This window comes from Homo sapiens, chromosome 5 (genome assembly GCF_000001405.40).
Source record: "Homo sapiens chromosome 5, GRCh38.p14 Primary Assembly".
NCBI classification, from domain to species: Eukaryota; Metazoa; Chordata; class Mammalia; order Primates; family Hominidae; genus Homo; species Homo sapiens.
The window spans coordinates 45,267,463-45,291,625 of NC_000005.10; the positions used below are offsets into that span (position 1 = coordinate 45,267,463).

The 24,163-nt window shown below is 34.4% G+C and overlaps 1 protein-coding gene across 1 annotated transcript in view, besides 1 other annotated feature; it reads right to left on the bottom strand.

The window, feature by feature from the left end:
- HCN1 (hyperpolarization activated cyclic nucleotide gated potassium channel 1) overlaps positions 1-24,163 on the bottom strand; it is a 441,433-nt gene that overhangs the window by 12,515 nt on the left and 404,755 nt on the right. The gene's annotated exons all lie outside the window — the stretch shown is intronic.
- Positions 21,228-21,797: an enhancer, noted in NCBI's record as "OCT4-NANOG hESC enhancer chr5:45288792-45289361 (GRCh37/hg19 assembly coordinates)". NCBI's record gives its function as "activates a minimal SCP1, AML or CMV promoter by ChIP-STARR-seq in primed H9 embryonic stem cells {active_cell/tissue: H9 hESC(primed)}" and the evidence as "EXISTENCE:reporter gene assay evidence [ECO:0000049][PMID:30033119]".

The window sequence follows — 24,163 nt, forward strand, 5'->3', positions numbered from 1 at the left end:
TAAAAAAAAAAAAAACAGTTGAGAAGGCCAGGCGCAGTGGCTCACGCCTGTAATCCCAGCACTTTGGGAGGCCGAGGTGGGTGAATCACGAGGTCAAGAGATCGAGACCATCCTGGCTAACATGGTGAAACCCCGTCTCTACTAAAAATACAAAAATTAGCTGGGCTTGGTGGCAGGCGCCTGTAGTCCCAGCTACTCGGGAGGCTGAGGCAGGAGAATCACTTGAACCTGGGAGGCAGAGGTTGCAGTGAGCCGAGATTGTGCCACTGCACTCCAGCCTGGCGACAGAGTGAGACTCCGTCTCAAAAAAGACAACAACAACAACAAAAAAACATGGTTGAGACTTTTGGTTTAAATGCAAGGCTGAAACACAGTATACCTTATCCTTCCCACTCCAATCCTCTGAAATAAGAAATAAAGAAAAAAAACAAAAACAAAAGAGATGCAGAAAATGGAATAAAATGTCCACAAAGGAGTTGAAAAAAGAAAGGGGTGATGATTAGAAAGACGATTTTATGAATTCTGGAAGGCAGAAAGCAGATGGTATAATCTAGGCAGAAGCCAAAATGAGTCCAAACATTGGCTTAGAAAGTCCTATGATCAAACAAAGCTAGACCAGAGGTTTAGATATAGGCATGTCTAATGTAGTTTGTATATTCCCAATGAGATCAGTATGAAGAAAGTGATATTCCACATGTACAGAGGGACTCTCTATTTAAATGACTTTTAAGGGTAATTCCTTACTGAAATTTAGATTTCCAAAATATGGTAAACAAACATTTGCAAATTTGGATTTCATTATTGGCCAGCTGAAGCTATATAGCTATTAAGAGATAATTTTCCATTTTGTTTTCCAAAAATTATGATTTGAACTACTGTAGGCTTTGATTATTTTTAATTTGGAAATAATTTAAACATTTAGCTTCAAAATAACAAATTTGAAAAGAGAAATGATAGAAGTATTTCTAAAATTTAGTCACCTAACAAAAGGAAATAAATATAATATTAAATGTCTAAATTCACACTCGAGCTAATTTAAAGAAGTTCTATTTATGTTGACAAACACTGTGAATAAATCACGCTGTAGACACATGTACGTTCATTTGAATACAATCTGGTAAGAACAATGTCACATATATGCAAACTCTGAGAATACTAGAGAAGGACACGTGAACCAGTCTGGGAAGATAGAGAGGATTTTAGGAAATGTCACCTAAACCATCAATTATGCTGTTGTTCTTGTCAAGATTGAAAAGTAATGTTGTAAACCTGCTAAATAATATTGTGGGGTCTGTGTGTTTGTCTGAATGTTTTTGTGCCTGAATATGTGTGTGTGTCTGTGTAGGAAAATAAATCTATTTTGGTCAATTTTAAAGCAAATTACCATACCATGGAATTTACCTGCTACTGTAATATAAACAAGGTAATTAAAAGAAGCATTTTGAATACTACTCCAAAATTAAATTCCTGTGTCACTAAAGTACTAATGCCATATAATTATAATTTATGATTGCCACATTATGGCAAACAAAGCTAAGTGTTGGTTTCAAATCTTGTGTGGAATGCTAAATGAAAGAAGACAGACATGAGAAGCCACATACTGTGTGATTCCATTTATGTAAAATATTCAGAAAATACAAATCTGCAGAGACAGATAACAGATTAGTGGTTGCCTGAGGCAAAAGATGGAAAAGGGAATTAACAGTAAGTGGGCACAGGAATCTTATTTGGGTGATGAAAATGTTCTAAAACCTGATTTGTGGTGATGGTTTCATCACTTGGTAAATTTACTTAAAGATATTTGAATTCTACACTTTAATGAATTATATGTGTAAAATACGTTGCATTAAAGCTATACAAAGTGAAAAGAAAATTAGTTTTGTTTTTATTTTTTATCTTTATACTTATTATATTTTCATTTGAATTTATTTTTTCTGAACTCTTTCTCTTTACTCTGGAAACATTGTTTTGTCTCTTTTTCTAGGTCTTTCTCTTGTGTGTTGAATGTTTTCTTTTGGTAATCTATTGATGTCCAATCACATTTAAAGATAAAAAACTCTGGTAATGTTGCAGAATTTGTTAATTTAAAGTTTTTCATTAGGGTAAATAGGCGGGGAGCTTGTCCTCATATTTCTCTAAATACCAGAATGAGGAGGGCTTTACTCTAGGCCACTGACATCTCTCTTAACTGTCCTAGTTCTCCCTCTCATTCAATTGCTTTATGAACGAACCACTGACATTTCCCCCCACTATCCTCAGGTACATGGTTGGCTACAGACTATTCCGCAACATGGAGGGAGGGATGTCTCATACCTACCATCAGCATAAGTCACCCGCTTTCTGTTCTGTCTTCTGTGGTCCTGTTGTCTCTTAACTAAGAGCCTGTTTAGTATTCTTCCAGGATACCTGCTGTCTCCTTGGCTCCCGTTCTTTGTACGTATATTCCATGTTCCCTCTACTTTCCCTTCAAGGTTCATCAGTAACCACCAGCATACATTTAAATGCAGGCTACAGAATACCTGAATAGCACTGGTTTATCCAATACATTAATGTCATTATATTACAAAACAAAATTTGGGAGTAGGCAAGGCCAGCATTTGTTCAGCACTTCAATGATGCCAAGGCACTGTGCCCATAATACTTTTGTTTTCCTTGGCCTTCTTCTCATGATCACAAGTTGATAGCAACAACTACACACATTCATATACTCACACAACAGCATCCAAAGTTTGGGGAGACAGCAAAAGACTTTCTTCCTATATTTCTTTCTTTTTATTGTGAAGGCAAAAGTTGTACTACAGGTCCCTAACTTACTTTCTCTGGCATTTTATTATCAGAACTGCATCATGTGGCCAGCCTTAGCTGCAAGAAAGGATTTAAAACGGAATATTTGGTAAATCGGAATAAGGTAACTACTGTTAGTGATTGAGTTAGGTAAATACTGGTTTAATCCCTGAAGTAGTATATGATGCCAGCCATACAAGATTTTATTAACAAGAAAGGGCCATGGTTGCTGGCTATGGAACCAATGTTATCTGGCACTTCACTCATATCAAAAGTATTTTCTGTCTTCTAGAAACATGTCCCTTTGTCTCGTCTCCTGGTTGCTCCCAAATACAAATTCATGCATCAGGTTACTTTGTGGTTGAGTTTATATTTTATTCTTTTACTATTATTAATTGGGTCTCTGTAGAGGGATGAGATAAAGGCATGTCCTGGGAATCATCTTAAATAAGAAATGTATTTGTCTTATGCTTAGAAATTACTTGGAATTATTTTTACAAAGAGCATGTGTTTATATATTATTTTTAATTTTTAAAAACAAGTTTAAAAATTAGAAATAAGAATATAGCTATTCTCAGTATGCACAGTCATTTTACAGATATGTTAAAAACAGATTTACTGGAGCATAGATATAAGTTTAGTCAAATTTTTTCTAAACCATTATTTACAAATGATTTTCTGGCCTCTGTCATCTGATGATCTCATATAATGAATATATAACATATGTAGCATATGTTACATAGTATAGGTACACATTACTAAGTAATCATGGCTTGAATCAGTTAAATATTACCATTGGTAAGAAAATCTTCAAGGAGGATGCTTTTAAAATACTGTTTAAAGCCTACATGAAGAAATGTGTACGTGTGTTATGAGCTCTTAACCCAAAGGTTTTCTATGTTGCCATCTCAGTAAAACTTAGATGTTACTGTTCAGCAAATCTTACCTCTTCATTACATTTTGTTTAAAAAGATAATGTACTTATTTTACCTTTTGTAGTTTGTGGGATCAACACTGATATTCTAATTTGGTCTTTCTTGCCAGTTAATGAGGTAGAGTGCTGTTTGGGGCATTGTCTACAGCAGTAATGTCTGGTTTCCTGCTGATTCAGGTACACACACACACACACACACACACACACACACACACACACACAGACACAGTTGCTTGGGCTATTTTAGGGATTCTTTTTTTGGTATAGTATTGGCCTGGGGATTTAGAGTCCTGTGTTAGTCTCAGTCAACTTGCTCTTGTTTGTGAGAATTAGACACCCATTTATATTCTGTGGAGTTTATTTATCAGTGAAAAGTAAAACTCAATTATGTCTCTAGAGTTTTATTGTCCTTAACTCTGTAACTAACTTAGACTTCATTCAACATTTTATCTGTAAAGTCTCATTAATCTTTATATCTCCAGTGCCTACATGACAGATAGTAGGGGCTTAATGTTAGCTGACTTGAATAATTGAATCAAATAGCAACATGCTTAATGAAATAAATTATTTAATCACCTACAAAAATTCCCTTTGTATTTAATGTGACATATTCCCCTACGGAGCAACTAAGGGCTAAATATAGACTTGCACAACAAAGTCCCTTCAAAAGTTATATAAAGGACTTTGTTCATTACCAACTCAAAACTCATCAGCCATTACCTTGCTGCATGTCCTCAATAATTTCTTAGTGAGAAAAAGAACAACTGAAGGTTATTCATGAGAGGAGAAATAGTCATTAAGAAGTATGAAAAACACTTAAAATAATCTCTTCTTTTAAAGCCTCCATACTCTGTTTCTAGTATGAATAACAGAATTAAGAAATGGCACACCCTTAGCAACGAAAAAAGAGTAAACTTTCTGATCAAAGAGGCTTAGATTTCATGAATTGAATGTCCAGATTAATTTTCTCTTGATACAATATTAAGCTATTTTGAAAATCTACTTATTGAGTAAACACAGCCCTTTGTTAGGTGTTACAGAGTTTTGGTGTATTTGCCATATCTGTGTGTATATGTGTCTTTGGCGGGGATGGGGGGTGTTTAAATAAAGGATATATATAGAAAAAAATTAGTCATCTGTAGCTCATACTATCCTTTAGGTACCTTAGAAATTATGTATGTATTAGTTTATCACTATTTCATTTTATTTTATTCTACTGAATTTCTGTTTCCTAAATAATGGCTTTATCAACCTAGCTGGTTTAAGACATTTTAAAGACAGAAACCATATAGTTACCTTATAATATCCCTTATAGTGCCTGCTACATTGAGTTTCCAGCCCAGGCAAAATGATTTAAAAATGCTTATGCATACCCCAATTACAGTGAATAAACATAAAACCCACACTAAGTTATCTTCTTAAGTTTTGGATAATATTGGTTCACCTGTTAGGCATCTTCCCTTGGTCATAGAACTTGCCAAATGTTTTACGTACTTTCTTTGAGGAACATAACATATCTCTGAGGTTTTGTGCAATGTTTATAATAAAGAAAACTATCTGGAAGATTTGGTCATTTTTTTTTCAATGTAGACATGCCTTTACTCATCAGGAAGAAAATTAACCTGCTTATAGATATGCATGTTGATTTCATAAAGCAAATAAAGTTAAATACAAAATAAAATAAAATTGGACTCCCAAAGAACAGATTCAGTGCAGTTTACAGATGCAAGCTTTTTAAAGATTGTCTTGGCATACTTTCTAGAATCTGTCTGTTCCAGCCTTTCTGCTTTTTTCTTGTTTGTATACTCTCTGAGAGCTCAACTAAGAACTTCCCAGTGGTGTAATAACTGTTTTAAGAATCTTAGTGCAAATTTACTTGGGTAATAGGTCCCTTCATCTGGATGCGTATTTACATATTATAATAAATTGTAAAAGTAATGGGGACTTAGCGTATTAATTTTAATTCGGTAGAATTTTCCTGGTTTTCTTTATAGGGCGTTTATGAATGGCTAAGTAGTTATTTCACCTAGTTAAGATGAAAACTATTGGTAATGCATCCTGTATAGGAACATAGACAACTCTGTTTCCAATTTCAGTGTCAGAAAGAGTGTGGCCTGGGAGACTAGATTTGGCCTAGCACATTATTTGTATACCTTTAATAATCCTTAAGGTATGAGATATATCAACTTCTCAATGCTATTTTTGCTGGCATTAGTTAACCCTGATTATAAACATTTAAGTCCACCTGACATTACTGTCACCTACATAAACAGTCATTTTTATAAGGTAGGGCAAATGGCTTCAAACGTTTTGCAACTCAGAAATATTTTCCTGACCTCTAAAACTGAACTTGACATTGCTGTGACACAGAGCTAATCAGGAACTCATGACAGAAATTTCTAAAGTAATGTGCTTAACCTGAGCTTCTAGAATTTTGGGCAAAACTGTACTTAGCTTCTCATAGTAACCTAAACAAAAGCTGCTTCCTTCTTTAGTAACTGATACCATGAAATAAAAGTAATTCTCTGCTGTGCATCAAAATACTAATTTCCTATAAATTATTTAGATTTCTAATTCACTGTGTTATAATAACATGTAACAGAAAATATCACTTTTTTGCTTTCTTTTTGTCTTTGTAGACTTTCTGTATTTATATTAGTGAACTAGTAAAACACTGCCTCTGTATGGCACAGGAAATGATAACATCTGGCTTAAATCATTTTGCGTATCATGTTTGGCTGGTAGAAGTACTCTGGGTATCAAATAGATTTGAATAGAAATCGAAAGAAGTTTAGACTAGGAAAGAACATTAAATAGGTGCAAATTTTTTAGTATTTGATTGATTTCTTAGTACAGTACTTTAATGCATTTCACATTTTGTACAATCTTCTGAAAAAGAGATTGAATACAACAAATTTCTAAATATAGATATAAAGAAGGTATTATTCATGTATAGATTACATATTATAATATTCTAATAACCAGAATACCCAATTTTTCATTTTACTAAGGGTATAACTAGTCATTTCAACTCACATAGATACATTCCTAATTGCACAATTATTTGTGTCCTCTTCTACTACTCATGCCCTGTTATTTATGGTTATTTAGATCAAATAAAGTTATTGTTTTATCAAACAAATCTTAGCTCCAAGTTCAATCAAATCATCTCTCTTAAAACATATAAATTAGAGTGATCACGTGGGCCTCTGAATGTTGACCTAGTAGCAACTCTTCAGACAAGCTATGTGTTAGCAAAGTTATTCATTGACAAAGCTGTTATGTGGTTAACTAAAACAGTGCCTGTAAAAGAGTGCCTATAAAACAGTGCCTATAAAGAGTGCCACCACAAGCCTGGCACATTGTGGGTACTCGTAAAACATTAATTTCCTTCCTTTTTCCCCATTTCCTTGTATTCTAATTTTTCCTTATGATTTTGATGGTACCTGCTAGAAGCAAATAAAAGTAATGCTTCACACATCAAGTAGCTCTCCAAATTTGTGATATATAACTATCATCTTTCACCATCTCATAAACAATTTGTTCATAAACTAATCATACAAATTCCTTAGACTGTGTCTTGAGGAAGATGGTTTCACATCCACTAATACTCTTTCTTAATTGTCCCAGGGAAAATTTATCTTTGTGCTTCCTCTGTATCTTGATCATCTTGCATCTTAGTTCCTACATTATTGGACTTACTTGTTTATAATCTTTATACTAAACTATAAGGTCTTTAAAGGAAGTGCAATGATTGCTTTTGCAATGTCATCACTTACCAAACATTGTCATATATTATTTGTTTCAAGAAATATGGAATGTTGGGAGGCCGAGGGGGGCAGATCACTTGAGGTCAGGAGTTTAAGACCAGCCTGGCCAACATGGTGAAACCCTGTCTCTACTAAAAATACAAAAAATTAGTGGGTATGTTGGCAGGCGCCTGAAACTCCAGCTACTTGGGAGGCTGAGGCAGGAGAATCATTTGAAACCAAGATATGGAGGTTGCAGTGAGCTGAGATCGTGCCACTGCACTACAGCCTCGGTGATGGAGTGAGACTCTGTCTCAGAAAAAAAAAAAAAAGGAAATAAGTGAATCAATCAATAACTGAAAATGGCTTACATCAGATTAAAAATATTCTTCATAAAACAAGGTGCTCACATTTGAATACAATATACCAAATAGGCAAATCTTTTTGTGAAGCTTTGGCTCCAATTGACAGAAGTTATAATACAAAGCTCTCATCTGGTTCCTACTAATCATAAACATGTTTGTAACATGATTGTTTGATTTTGTTGTATATGTGAATTTTTGAAATTAAGGTTTACACTTTCTACTCCTTAACTTCTCTCCCTTTCCTCTTCTTTATCTGTGTCTTTCATTTCCATTGTAACTCCTTCAGCTTGCATAAAATCAGCTTTACATAATACTGTTGGTAAACTTATATAGAATATATATTTGTACTACTTGTCTTTGGCAAGTTAAAATACCTAATGGATATTACTGATATTACAGATATGTTACGTAGGTAGGAAACAATCTCAGGTAGCCGCGTGTTAGCCCATGTGACATAAACAGATTAAAGGGGTTCTGTTTTGTGATTGTAACAAAAATAACATAAAAATATCAAAGCTAAGAAGGGTAAAACCACAATTTTTCTGCTTCTATCTGTCTTTAAAAATTCACCAGACCATTCCAAATTGTCCCTTTCAATCTTTAAATCTAGCAGCACTCAAGTCGTCAAAAGTTAATCAAACACCTTGAATTATAAATGCCTTTAAAATGCAGCCAGCTTTTAAAAATTCATCAAATGATTTTTGGCTCTTAGGTACCTCCAATGTGTTTTTTGAAGTAATATCCTGACAGCTCTGTTTTCCTATGTGGCTTAATATGCTTCTAAAAAATGAAAAAAACACGTGGCAGAAACAATAGTCTCCATAGGCAATATATTCACCAGATATTTATGAGGCAAGTCTACTACAGCCTAAAAGGTTATTTGTCTCCAAAATATTTCCCTTGATGCTCTCTCTTTCTCACACACACACACACCACATGCACACATGATAAAATCAACATTTAAACATGCATTTCCTCTATTTGTTTAATGCAAAAATTCATTCATTCATTCAGAATGGATTCATTAGTGCAGTGTCACACTTTAATATGTATGGGAATCACCTGGGTTGTCTTACTGCAAAGCAGGTTAGGATTTAGTAAGTCTGGAGTGGGATGAAAGAATCTGCAATTCTAGCAAGGGATAAGTATTACCACTGATAAGCTTCTTTTGGGTAATGAGTTCATATAGCTGTCAGATTTATAATTTAAAAAGAGTTCCTCATTTAGAAGAAGTTGGAAAAAGTAAACAAAAGGAATGGAAATTAAAGATAACATGAATTCAAGTTAACCACCATTTTCCCTGCAACCTGTACCTTAGGCAATTGTGGAGAATACAAAATAAGTATATTTTGTATCCTTATCCTGACTGAAAGAGTCGAGAATTATAAATTCAAGCATAATATGAAAAAAGATTTGAGCATAATTCCAAGGCTAAATAACCTACTAGAGACTTTATGTAAATTCAAATAATATATCATTCATCATAGAGTAATTCTGTACATCATTGGTGACATGAAGGGTCTTGGTTAGACTTCAAAAAAGTGTAGAAACTACATTACACAAACTATGGGGATGAAGAGGACAAGAGAAAAGGAACAGGAGGGGAGAGGAGACATTAGAATGAAATAGTATCATGATACAGGTTCAAAGAAAGGTTTGGAAGCTAATTTTTATGAAATTTTGGAAGAGCAGCTTGACAGGATCATAAGTATTTGATTAGGCATAGAGAATATTTCTCCATGGGTAAGAAAGTTAGTCCTGGTCTACACTATTATTTTAGGGCTCTTCAGGAAAAACTTCGTGTGCAAAATATTATTTTAAGAAATTAACTTACATGGAATAGAGTGGAGAGTTCTAGCTCTCTACATATCTTGCCATTTATGGGAAAGATAGTTAGCCTCTCTTTCTCCAACAGGTAAATTTGTTCTCTCAAATCTTTTGCTTCATAATACAGGCATATTTATCTATAGTCAGTTTGCCAAATGAGCTGGAAGGGAAGTTTTTAGTAAAGAATTGTAAAGAAGTTTTGATAATAATTTTGGGGAATTGATTGATCTAAAGCTGTAGCACTGACAACAGAAGTAGTCTCTCTAAATAATCACTGTAAAATGAAACTTCAACAGAGCTTGAAAGGGGATGAGGCATCCATGATTTTGAACCTAAACATAAACAAAACAAAACAAAAAAACAATGCTAGGCTGTGTCTGTCCTAGGAGTGAATATAAGATAAAAGATTGTTTTGGGAACAAATAAAGCAAAACTTTTGCATAAAAAAACTAATTTCATGAAACTCTTTCTCACATTAAACCAGTTATTCTTTTATTAAAAAATGAAAGCAGTATTTGTGTGTGTGTGTTTTGTACAAATTGGAAAGCTTTTCTCATGTGACTTTAAAAATCTCTGATAACTGGTTCAACCAGGATTGATGCTTACTCCAAAGATGGTCATCTATAACTCAGGTAGCAGCCCATACAACGATCTGGCTGGAGAACTCTTTCGATGGGGATGCTTCAATCAGACTGTGACTAATAGAATTAATCATACCCATTGTTGGGGAGATTTAAAGTAAAGAATGAATAGCTAGAATAATCAGAGTGCATGAGTTGTGAGAATGATAAATCCCCAAAGTGGTGTTGGGCCACTGGCATCACTGTGGTTTCCTGATGGACAATCTCACTTGCCATAAAGTCTGCCTCTAATACTCCTGAGATAATTTCCCTTGCTTCTTTTCTTCCTGTGATCCCTTACAGTGCTTCTTTTCTTCCTGTGATCCCTTACAATGCACTCTATCATCAGTTAATCTGATCTTTACTTTGTGTCATCCCCCTGAGTGCCTGACTCATACACATCTCTACTCGTGACCTCTTTCAGGTCCAGAAGTTCATACCAGTCCATTTTGTTAAGAGCCTCTACCTTTTCTTTTATTTCCTTCACTCGATAGATTACAATGAGTTCTTCAAGTTCAGTATGTGAGTAGCCACAGAGAGGTCTTGAGGTAAGTAGAAAACTAATATCCTACCTATAAAGTTTTCATTTTCTACTTTTCAGTAATTTGAAGTATTCATAGAGGACGACTGGGAATCAATCTTTGTGCAAGATAACAGAAAAAATTTATTAGGCAAATAAAGAAATCCTATTACCACTGCCCAATCAAGAAAACATTCACACTTACAAATCAATCCTAACAGAGGTAAATATCTGTTGATTTTTTTCCCACTCCAAGAAACATAATTCTATATGACCACTAATGAGCAAATTGAAAGTAATAATTACAATCATAAAAATGCCACTGAGGTTTTGAGTTTAAAAAGTTTGTATGTAAGCTTAAGTATGGGTTGATAAGAAATACTAATCCACATGAATAATTAGTTACTTTAGTTAGTAGTATGTGTTAATTGATAGAGGTAGAATGCATATACATTAAAGCAATGATAATGATAAGAAAATATATTTTATAGAATGTTTTTTCCTTATATATCTTATTCAGAATGAGTTAAATTTGGAAAAGAGGCTTGTTTTGAACAGACGGGTTAGATCAGGAGTCCTATAACCAAATCCAACCATTGGCTTATTGAACTGCTTTTTTTAAATTAAGAAATGGATTTACATTTTTAAAGGTTTGTTAAAATAAAAGCAAAAATGAAAGATGGATATACAATCATATATGGCTTACAAAGCCTAAATATTAACTATCTGAACTTTTACAGAAAAACATTTGCCTACTCCTTGGTTACATACATTTTTTTCCTTACAAATAGATGTCCTTTATTGAATCTTAACTTAGGCAAATAAAATCTGGAAAGAACAGAAATCAGCAGACTAAAGATGTATAAGCCACTATTTAGCTTGTGACTTTAAGCAAAGTGAAGTGAGGAATTAGGTCAAACAGTCCAACAGGTTATCCAAACTACATATTATCTTTTATATTTAAAAAAGAAATTCTCTCTGACTCATTTGGTCAACATGATAAAAAGGACACCAGGAAATCCTCCCACCAAGGGGTCTGCCTTTCATCCAGGAGAAAAGACACACACTCATTGTTTCAAAGCTTAACTGAGGTGTGATACATCCTGTTGAAACCGTGTTCAAAGAAGCCTCATATAACCAGAAACTCAATAAACCAGTATTTTATTTCCATATTTGAGAAGGATAAGGATGAGAAATGACTTTCCAAAAAGATAAAAGTTACAAAAAAGCAGATTTTTCCTATATTTTGTTAATGTTTTATTGCAGAAAATTGTAAACACATAAAAGTAACAATATACTATATTACTAGAATACTAGTAGAAGAGTATAAATCTAACGAATTAGTAGAATAGTGTAACAAAATACCATAATAAAATCTCATATGTTCCTTGCTCAGATTAAACAATCATCAACTGATAGCTTGTTTCACTGGTACCTCATACATTTCCACCTAATTATTTTGAGAAAAATTGCAGACATATTATTTCAAAGATAAAATTTCAGTATGCATCACTAAAATATAAATATTCTTAAAATAAAAATGTCCATAATATCACCATAACACCCCCAAAATTAATAGTAATTTCTTAAAATTATCAAATACTTAGCTGGTATTAACATTTTTTAAGCAGGCACATATTTTGTAAAGAAGTTATTTGCAGGTCATGTCCCAACTCCCTCACTTTCCTGAGGAGTCTAAACAAAAACATCCTCTAGAACTATAACACTTAAAATAATTAAAAATAAGCTTTGAAACATGAAAGATATATAATTTATTATAATACCATATCAGGACAAGAAAATTCTACTCATGTATTTCAAGAAAGGATACTAGCCAATTTTTACAGCATCAACTAAAAACAAAAAAGAATTTTGCTGTTGTTGAGCACTAGCAAAATATAACTAAAATACTCTAGTCCTAGAATATTGATTTATCAAGCTGTATATTTACTTACTATTTTGCATCATCATCACTATCATAGCAGAAACTCCTAGACAGAAAGATGAAAGACAACTGGAATTTCGGAGGTCAAGTGAGAATGAAGGAAGACTTGAAAGAATCTCAGAAGAAAAACAAAATAAATGCAAAGAGAAATCATCTGAATGCTATTTGACTAATATTAACTTCTCCACTTGTGTTCCAATATATAAAACTGAATGAGACTTTCTAGACTAGGGTTTCTCAACCTCAGCCCTACTGACATTTTGGGCCAGATAATTTTTTGGTGTCTGGAGTTGTCCTGTGCATTGTAAAATGTTTAGCTTCATCTCCCTGGCCTCAATCTACTGGAAGCCAATAGCAAACTCCTCACACTGAAAGTACCACAATAAGGACTGACAGGAGTGCTCATGAGGACATATTTTTGGCCTCCTATCTTCATAAACTCTGCTCTAATAATCCAAGGTGCCAAACATGCTCATGCTTTGTGTCTTTGTACAACTTTTGGATCATATTTACAACAGAAGCTTAAAATTATGTTTTAGATATCAAAGCATCTATAAATAAACTTTTTGGGACATTTGCTTTAATTATGCAATCTTTTTTGGATACTCTTCTTGGAACGTTGTAAAGCAAATGCTAATCACTTTGTTCATGAGAGATAGCTATTTAAACACATTAAAAATGCTTTTCAAAAATTCCGTCTATTTTTCTTTTCCATTCAAGTGTCAGGTAACTCCAGTTGGTTTACCAGTTTAATTAACCAGGATAAAATAGATTTCTGCTAAAGAATCTGTGGCATTTAGATTCAGAGGCAAAAAAAAAAAATACAGAAAAATAAAATTTACATTACTGTTAATAAATAGTATCATGTGCAAATTGTTTATGACAGACAAAGTTTGATTCGGTTGGAGGTTTTTGTTAGTATGTTGATATGGTTTGGCTCTGTGTCCCCACCCAAATCTCATGTAGAAATGTAATCCTCAGTGTTGAAGAGGGGCCTGGTGGGAGGTAATTGGATCATGGGGGTGGATTTCCCCCTTGCTGTTGTCATGGTAATGAGTGAGTACTCAAGACTTCTGCTTGTTTAAACGTGTGTATTACTTCCCCCTTCTCTCTCTCTCTCTCCTGCTCCACCATGTATAGTATGTGCCTATTTCCTCTTCACCTTTCACTATGTTGTAAGTTTTCTGAGGCCTCCCCAGCCATGCTTCCTGTATAGCCATCAGAACTTTGAATCAATTAAATTTCTTTTCTTCATAAATTACCCAGTCTCAGGAAGTTTCTTATAGCAATGCAAGAACAGACTAATACATATGTGCAGACAAAAAAGTATTTGAGAGCATGCAGACAAAAAATATACAAGAGCTCTTCTCTTCTTTTTTTTTTTTTTTTTTTTTTTTTTTGAGACGGAGTCTCACTCTGTTGCCGGGCTGGAGTGCAGTGGCATGATCTCGGCTCACTGTAACCTCCGCTTCCTGGGTTCAAGCAATTATCCTGCCTCAGCCTCCTGAGCAGCTGGGACTACAGGTGCCCGCCACCACGCCCGGGGGCTAATTTTTTTTTGTATTTTAGTAGAGATGGGGTTTCACCATATTTGCCAGGATGGTCTTGATCTCCTGACCTCATGATCTGCCTGCCTCAGCCTCCCAGTGTTGGGATTACAGGTGTGAGCCACTGAGCCCTGCCAAGAGCTCTTCTTTTTGGCTAGCTATAGTATATGTTTAGTGGAATGTTAAAAGATTCACATACAAAGATATTCTTTCATATTGAGCCACACGTTTAAATTTTATTGACTTTTACACTGGTACAAAAGCACATAGATTATTTATTTTGGTAGAGAAAACTGAATAAAATATGCCCAATACTGTCACATAGGACTATCAAATATCATTAATAAATTTTGCAATATGTTTTCCACCATATAATGATATGTATATAAGTTTAATGGAAATTCCTTCAATATTTCTTTAGAACACCACTTAGTAAAGCATTGAAAACTACTTTGTAGTTACATTGACAATATTGTTTCATTTGTGCTCCATGTGTAAAAGAAATGGGCTTTAAAAATTGTTTTCCCAATATCAATGTAAAACATGTTGTTGTTACTGGCTTTCTTATATGTTATCTTGAGTAGAATGTTGCCACACAATATCTTGAAAATACATTGAAAAGTATTAATTCAAATTATGTGTAGTGAGTGGATTTAGGGTAAAGAAAGTTTGGGTCATAAAAACAATCATTCTGTAATTTGCTGTCTAGCTAGATATAGTACAAGAGTTTTCCTAGCCAAGGTAAAGACAATTCTTCCCCAAACTTGAATTAGTATCTCATGACCATTCACATTTGGATGCTACTGTCAGTGGAATAAATTTCAAATTCCTTAATCTGGCTTTCAAAACCATCCATAATCTGGTCCGATTTCATGTTTCCAACTAGTACTGTCTCTAATTACAATCTCAAATGCTCCATTTCAATTCAGCAAGCATCTACTTAGTTCCAGCTACGTGCTTCATTCTGTGTTATGGGAAATATACCCCGTAGGACTAACTAGTAATTCTTTCAATCAGCTCCAGTAATGCTCTTGGTCATTCTTTTCTTCAGTGTGTAGTGTGTATTTCTCTTTACAGAAACCCTATTCTTAAGGTCCTCTACATACCTAAATATCATCATTTATTGATTTAAATAAAATATTAGTTGAGTTGACATGTTTGTCTATTTTTTAATCTCTTCACTTAATGTGTAATCTTTTAAATCATCAGTAATAAAAATAAAATTAAGCTTTGTAAAGGTAATTACAAACTTGTACTGCATCCTCCATATCTGAACTGGGTCTAAGAAAGTTCCTACTTTCCCCAAATGAATGTGACTTTATGATGAACATTGCCATGGATGAAGATGAAAATATACTTTGATAGCATGTTCGAAATTATTAAAGAGAATAGTATAAAATGCACAAGTATTTTCTATCTTTAATCTTTATTATACTTGGGAAACCAACCTATGAAATACTATTCTTGATATAGGAACGGCCAAATATTTCATGACAAAGATGCCAAAAGCAATTACAACAAAAGCAAAAATTGACAAATGGGATCTAATTAAACTTAGGAGTTTCTGCACAGCAAAATAAACTATCAACAGAGTAAACAGACAACCTACAGAATGGGAGAAAATTTTTGCAAACTATGTAGCTGATAAGTCTAATATCCAGCACCTATAAGGAACTTAAACAAATTTACAAGAGAAAAACAAACAACACCATTAAAATGTGGGCAAAGGACATGAACAGACACTTTTCCAAAGAAGACATACATGCGGCCAACAATCATATGAAAAAAGCTCAATATCATTGATCATTAGAGAAATACAAATCAAAACCATAATGAGATACCATCTCACACTAGTCAGAATGTCTACCATTAAAAAGTAAAAAAATAACAGATGCAGGTGAGGTTGCAGAGAAAAGGAAACACTTATACACTGTTGGTTGGAGTGTAAATTAGTTCAACCATTGTGGAAAGCAGTACAGTGATTCCTCAAAGAGCTAAAAACAGAACTACCATTGGAACCAGCTATCCCATTACCGCATATACACCAAGAGGAATATAAATCATTCTACTATAAAGACACATGCATGCGTATGTTGATTGCAGCACTATGCACAATAGCAAAAATGTGGAGTCAACTTAAATGCCTATCAATGACAGATTGGATAAAGAAAATGCAGTATATAGACATCATAGAATACTATGCAGCCACAGAAAAGAATGAGATCCTGTCTTTTGTGGGAACACAGATGGAGCTGGAGGCCATTTCCCTTAGCAAACTAATGCAGGAACTGAAAACCAAATACGGCATGTTATCACTTATAAATGGAAGCTAAATGATGAGAACTCATGAACACAAAGAAGGGAACAGATACTGGGGCCTATTTGAGGATAGAGGGTAGGAGAGAGGAACAGAAAGGATAACAATTGGGTATTAGGCTTGGTACCTGGGTGATGAAATAATCTGCACAACCAATCCCCATGACATGAATTTACTTATGTAACAAACCTGCACAGGTGCCCCTGAAATGAAAATAAAAGTTAAAAAAATTGGCGCTCATTGAAAATGGAGAAGATTTTAATCTGTAACCCTGTAACCCCTTTCTTTCCTAACAAACATTTTTGAAATATCTTAGAGGTAAATGATTGCATTTATATAAATTGCAGTAAAGATGAAAAATAAGAGGAAATAAAACAAAAATATATTTAGTTAATAGCTAAGTAGGAGCAAAGTGATCCAATGCATAACTCCAAGGAGACTTAGCATCTGTGCACTGAAATGCTTGTTTTAACAAGTCCAACTGTGTTTTCTAACTATGTCAATCCTCTTTCCCTTGGCTAGTGCAGAATCCAGTTTATAGAATATATCAAACTTCAGCCTTCTTGCTGAGAGGAGCTGAATGCTGCTTTAATTTCCCAGCCGGGAGCTGGTATTTCAGCATGAACCAGGCATATTTAATTGTTGTGTAAATGTTAAGATCACAATGTAGGCCATATGGCAGTTTCTCTTTACAGAAGAAGAGAGACCTTCAAATCAAACTGTTAAGTCTGAGAACCATTTGAAGTCACAGTCATTAATTTGGAGATATGGACAAGAGATTTATTTCTCTTTTCTATGTGTTTCTTCCTCCTTCCTATGCACCATAAGAGAGATGGGTCTATTTAAAGTGGAAAAAACAATGTAGGTCAATTCTATTAAACTCTAAGTGGAACTTCCACAAGTTTCTATTTCATAATGGTGGGGGAAATGCTACTTTAAAATCAATTTTCTAAGTCCATATTAGGGTCATGCTTCACTTTGGAATGAGCTGGAGAGATTCCAGATCATCAGAAATGAGTTTCCTGAGGTGAAGGAGCAGAAGTAGCTCCATATAATTTTTTTCTTTAAAACAGGTCACATTTTCCTTCAATTTGCCATCTCCATCTCAACTTTTCTTTGACACACTACTATTCAATTTTTACAACTCAGCTCAGAAGTGAGGTGGGTACTCTTAGGGCCTTGAAGATTTTGTTTAGGCACAAGTGGGCCAATGCACATGGCTAATGCAAAGAATTGAACAATAAATCCAAAATATCTTTCTAAAATGTTATTCTCTGTGCTGGAAATACAATTTCACATCCTCTGCGGCCTTTTCTCATTTTCACTCTTCTTATATTATTATAGACGTCTCACTTGGAAGCTGGTGGGAACTAGGTGTATTCTTAGGTATTTCTGAGGTCCTATAGACTTAGACACTTTCGAAGCAATAAATCTCATTTGGATTTATTAAGGGTATTTCGCTTAAACATTTTTTACTGTATTCAGCCCTGAGTTATTAAAGGTATTTATATTTTGGCATCTTATTCATTTTCATGGTCCCTGAGAAAAATTTCAAGATTGTTATCTGAAAAATGTAGCCAAGATCAATCACCACCAGTTTCTGTCCTCTTCACGATTTCAGTGAAAAAAGATCTTGATTTAAAGATGTTCCTAATTGACTAATGATGGCAGGAATGTTGAATTTTGTTTTATTTTCTAGGACCATCCATACCCCCTTGCAGAACTGGAGGAAGTAGAGGTCTACATTTACACAAAAACATGGTAACTGTGACCATGAATGATTCAGAATGACCCAGGATTTGTTCTGCAGCACCTTATGATTATCTTATAAACAAATCATCAGATGTTTGCCATCAGTTCCTCATCTTCTCTGATAAACTTTCTTTATAGTTTGGGGAGACAAACACACACGGAAAATTTGTTTTTAAAGAACTTCAGAGTTAAGGAACTAAAAAAAAACTAAGTTTCTAAGATTCTCAGAAACTGGAAATTAACTTTTATTTAGATAATTCTGTTTCTCATTATATAGGAAAAAGTTGACAGATATAGGAGACAAGACATGGGAGTATTATTTTGTGTCTTCTCTCAGTGGCAAATCGATAATGATAATAATGTTATCTTTACCTACTTATATGGTTTAAAAATATATACCTTATTAGAAATTATAAGTGCAAACATTATATCCTTTCTGTTCTCCAAGTTATAATAGTACATGCACAACTATGAATATTATTATGTAAAAATGATTTCAGTATTTAAGAAGTACTAGACCAAAAATTTCCAGTTTCTTGAGGCTGGAAGCATTGGAGATTGCTCTGTAGTAACAAGTATCCTGTAAACTTCAAGAAAATAAGAACTTTTAACATATTTCAAATCTTTACAATAAGAGGATAAATGTGTACTGAATTAATAAGTCCACCACTGCATTGTAAAATGAATGCAATTAAGATTTTAAAGGCTATTTCTAAGAAGTGTCTGATGTGTTTTAGTCTTCATCTTTCTCACTCATGTCCAATCTGACTGTATTATTGTCAGCGACTATCAACTGACTTGTTAGTATTGAAAATATTAGACACATCTTTTGAGATTCTATTCATTTCTTTGGGGTACAACCACATATCCAAGCAAAGGGAACTACTTAGTGCATACCATTAAAACATTAAGATGTTGTTGTTGATGTGTTTCTCTTGTAACATATGGTATGAGGTACAAAGACAATTTTAAAATTACTTCTGGCATTTTAAATTTTCAAAGGACATCCCAATAATGTAAGTTTAATATACACTGAAAAATTGGTGATGAAACGCAATTTAAAGTGACTAAATGTTTTCTACTTTATTATTTTTTGCTGAACTGTTCTGACTGACAATTTTATTCTTCCCATGTAAGTAAATTCAGCCATGGAGAAGTGTCTCCATGGATAATAGATAGGTCAGAACAGTCATACTTAATTGAAGTATGCTTAGAATTATTAAATTCATATTATTTAGCAATAGGCTAGAAGGTATGCGTGTGTGTGTGTGTGTGTCTGTGTGTGTGTGTGTATGTGATGTGTTTTATAATTCAATAGAAGTGGGAAGAATTCTTATTTTCTGAAATGTTATAGAGTAACATTATTGGTAACAATGTTCAGAAAATTTACCTGTTACTGTAGGAAGAGCGGTTACCTGTGAGTGAAAGTCCCAGCCCTGTCACCACCAACCTCTAGGCTCATACATTTCTCAGGCTCCTCATTCGTATAAGAGGATTAGATAATGAATAAGCTCCCTCTAATTCTAAATTTACAAAAATGTTTATGAATAATTTAGTGTATGATAAATATATGCCTTCCATTTTACTTCTAAAGCATATGAGAAACATACCAAAAATGATAAAGATTATATATTCTTGTAGTTATTTTAATATAGCTGAGTTATGTAATACATATGGAATTACTTAGCACAATGCCTGGCACATTAAGAACTAGTTGTTTGAAGAGTTTGGATTTTACTAAATCCTAGAGTATGATTTCTTATGTGTGTGCTCACAATTCAATTTTGTTTATAGTGAGGAAATTAGAATTTTCAAAGTTGAGGTTATCTCTAGTTTTAAAAAGCTGTCATGATTATTTATTCCACCCTTACTTCCCCACCATCAGACACACACACACATTGATATAGAGTCATTTTCATTGCTATAGGATTAAGACTAACACATAGTCAGGAGAAATACAAATTGACAATTAGATCTCCAGTGTTGATTCACTTGACACGAGCCCTGAATCAATAATGCCCCAGTACTGTCTTTTACACGCATCTACTGCTTTATACTACACTGGCCCTTTCGCTTATGCTAATGCCTAACATCATGGCACAGACTGTGCCAGGTACTGCTCTAAGTATTTTAGAAATATTGGATCATTTCATCCTCTAAGCAAACCCTAGTGAGGTAGGAATTAACATTATTCCAGTTTTACAGGTTTGGAGATATTCTTGGGGAAGATCTGTGGCTTTCCCAAGGTCAAATAGCATCTCAGGGTGCAGCTGCATCACCTACACTCTTAACCAGTATCCTCTCATCTCCCACCACATTTCAAGGAGCTTCACAGTCCAAGGTCTGACAATTTCTACTTTATTTCACTATCCACGAAAAAAAGTGGCAGTTATTTTTTAACCACCGGAGCATGAATCATCACAAATCTCACCTACCTCCATTTCTTTTTAAATTGCTAAGTGCTTGGCCTTGAAAACACTCACAGTGATAATACTACAAATGAAATGCAGCCCTTCTTTAAAAATACTGTGAACTAGAATAGGCAAGAAGACATTTTGGATGTTTCATGCCAAACAACCTGGCAAAAAAGAATACACCCTTCAAGAGTCCCATTCTAACGGAATCATTGGTCTGAAAGGGGCTGTAGAAAGCGTCTGTCTTAATAATCTCATTTTACACATGATGATTCTGAGCCCCTGGGTGTTACACATGTTAGGTCCTATCTACGGAAAGAAAACTAGAACCTGGCTCTGTGGATGCTGAGCACACTGCCACATCATGCTGCCTCCTAATCCTTTTATAGTTTTGATTGTAAATATATAATTTAGTAAATTAATTTGCAATATTATAGAAAGAAAGAATCAGGCATTAAATCGTGCTTAGGTTCCCTAGACATAACTTGTAAGTTGCATGTGGTGCATAGTTTAGTAGGGAGAATCCTGGTACCATTGCACAGTTCTAGCAATTTGGACCTTTGGACTTGAAGGGAGGGTCTAAATTTAAGAGTAAGTAAAACCTGGGCATAGAATAAAAAGCTTCTGTTATTAGCACAGGGGGAAGGCCACATGGGAAAGGAGCAAGCTAGAGACAGAGTTGAAATGAGAACACAGTGAGAAACCAGCCATCTGTCCACCAGCAATGAAGCACACAAAGTAACCGCAGGACATCATTGCCTTCCAAATGAACCTATTCATGTAGCAGATTCCTAAGATCAGTCCTTTACTCATAAGCTGTGTTTTTGGGGGGCATTATACAATATAACCTTAAGAACATTTTAAACCTAAATACCTCACAATGATAAAAAGCCCATTATCTTTCCTATGGACATATTAACTATTCTTTAGTATAAAAATATGACTTAGAAACTGAAAGATTTTTAAATTGCTTCCAAATGTATACTTAATGCCTCACAATGTAACACTTATTATTCATACAGAAAGATGGTATTACTTCACCTTACTTTACTTTGGGCTGAGAACAGAGAATAAAAAAGGTGAGTGGAGAATGAAAGTATATTAAAAATAAAATTTTGTACCCTGGTTGCTTTCATGCAGTTGTACTTGCATACTTTGTTGAAGTGTGCCTTCTCAGAGACATTTATGTCACTTTTGTCTCCTAGACTCCACAGATACAATGGAGCATTATAATAATCCCTAAAGAAAGTAACACAACAGAATAATAGTTTGCACAACTTTATCCAAGGAACTCAAAGTACTTTATTAATGTTAGCTCATTAATCACACCAGAGTGTGGCAAAGGATGAATACATCTGCTGAAACAGGGCAAGAGCATCTTACTCAGCAAAGTTGTAGTGAGACTCAAAAGTCAAATGGGAGGCTGGAGAGCAAATATACAGGCACAGAAAAAGAAATGATGTCAAAGGAATCTTCTTATTCTATTCAGCACTGTATTAGTTCATTTAAAATGCGGTAACAAATTACTATAGAGTAGGTGGTTTATGGACAACAGAAATGTATTCTTACAGTTCTGGAGCCTCAAAGTTCAAGATCAGGGTGCCAGCATGGTCAGGTTCTGATGAGGGCCCTCTTCTAGGTTACATACTGCCTTCTTTGTATTCTCTCATGGTAGAAAAGAAGCTGGCTGGTTCTCTGCCTGTTTATATTGGGGCATGATATGGTTTGGCTGTGTCCCCACCCAAATCTCATCTTGAATTGTAGCTCCCATAATTCCCATGTCCTGTGGGAGGGACCTGGTGGGAGAAATCATGGAGGCAGTTTTTCCTGCACTGTTCTTGTGACAGTGAATAACTGTCACGAGATCTGATGGTTTTATAAAGGGCAGTTCCCCTGCACATGCTGTCTTGCCTGCCACCATGTAAGACATTCCCCCACTTCTCCTTTGCCTTCTACCATGACTGTGAGGACTCCCCAGCCATGTGGAGCTGTGAGTCCATTAAACCTCTCTTTCTTTATAAATTACCTAGTCTTGGGTATGTCTTAATTAGCAATGTGAGAATGGACAAATACAGGGCACTAATCCTATTCATCAGGGTTCCACCCTCATGACCTAATTACCTTCCAGAGGCCCCACCTCCAATGTCATCACATTTGAGACTACAGTTTCAACATATGAATTGTAGGGGACATAAACATTCAGTCCTTAAAAAGTACTAAGTAAGATATTACTGAAACACTAAGTCTAATTATTTGGTTTACATTTATGACTTCTGTTAAGAATTTGTAGGGAAAACAAAATAAATAAGACACTTTTGTGTTTAAAAATTGTAAAAAAAAGACACCATTTATTAGAAGAAAAGTTTGGGATTAGTTAATTTAATTTTATAAAACTTATTCAATTAAAGGTGGCTCCAAAAGTAGATCCAATGCTACCAATATTTACTCAGTAAAAATCATGTGTTAGTCATGATGCTGAGGGTGCAGATACAAACAGAAACATAACATGATCTTTTACAAGTCTACAGTATAATGGGAATGTTATAGTCTCATAGTTTCCATATATCTTTTATATAAATGCTGCAAATAATCATGAAGAAACAAAAGAGATGATGAGAAAATAAGGAAAAGACTATAAATAATATATGAAAGGAAAAAAGAATCTTAAAAGTACAGCTTTAATTTGGTTTCAAATGTCTTTCACTGAAATATAGGTTATTCTTGTCATAATAATGTAGGCATATACTCATTGTGTCCATCAGAAAGCTTGAAAATGCTTCATAAAACACAATGGCCTAAGTATTATTTGATTTTCTCACTATCACCATCTTTCATATTTTAATTTTTATTCAGCCACCGAGGTCATATCTTAGACTTTGTTATCACCAATAGCTTAACTAATTCCAAAACCTCTATACAGATCATTTCTTCTATTTCCAGCTTACTTTATTCTACTTCTCTACCTCCAATAACTTTTCTCTCTCATATGGACCTGTAGTTCATTAACTCTACTCTTTATTCACTGTTCACTACCTTCCCACATGAAGAGTTCTTGGTCTATCACTAAGATGATCACCTTATAAATATATCATGTTCTGTGTATGCCCACTCGTTCTGTTTTCTGGACACCACACCGAGCTCATCTTTTATAAATCTTTCAACCTATCTCTCTGGTTTAGCAAAGCTGGCATCCTTTTGCTCTTGGAACTGACCACCTCTGTTTTCACTTCAGGAGATTTGCACTTGTTATTCCCCATGCTGATAACGTTTCTCCCTCAGATTGTTACATGACTAGCTTTCTCTCTTTTTTATTTTATTTATTTTTTGAGACAGAGTTGCACTCTGTTGCCCAGGCTGGAGTGCAATGGTACAATCTTGGCTCGTTGCAA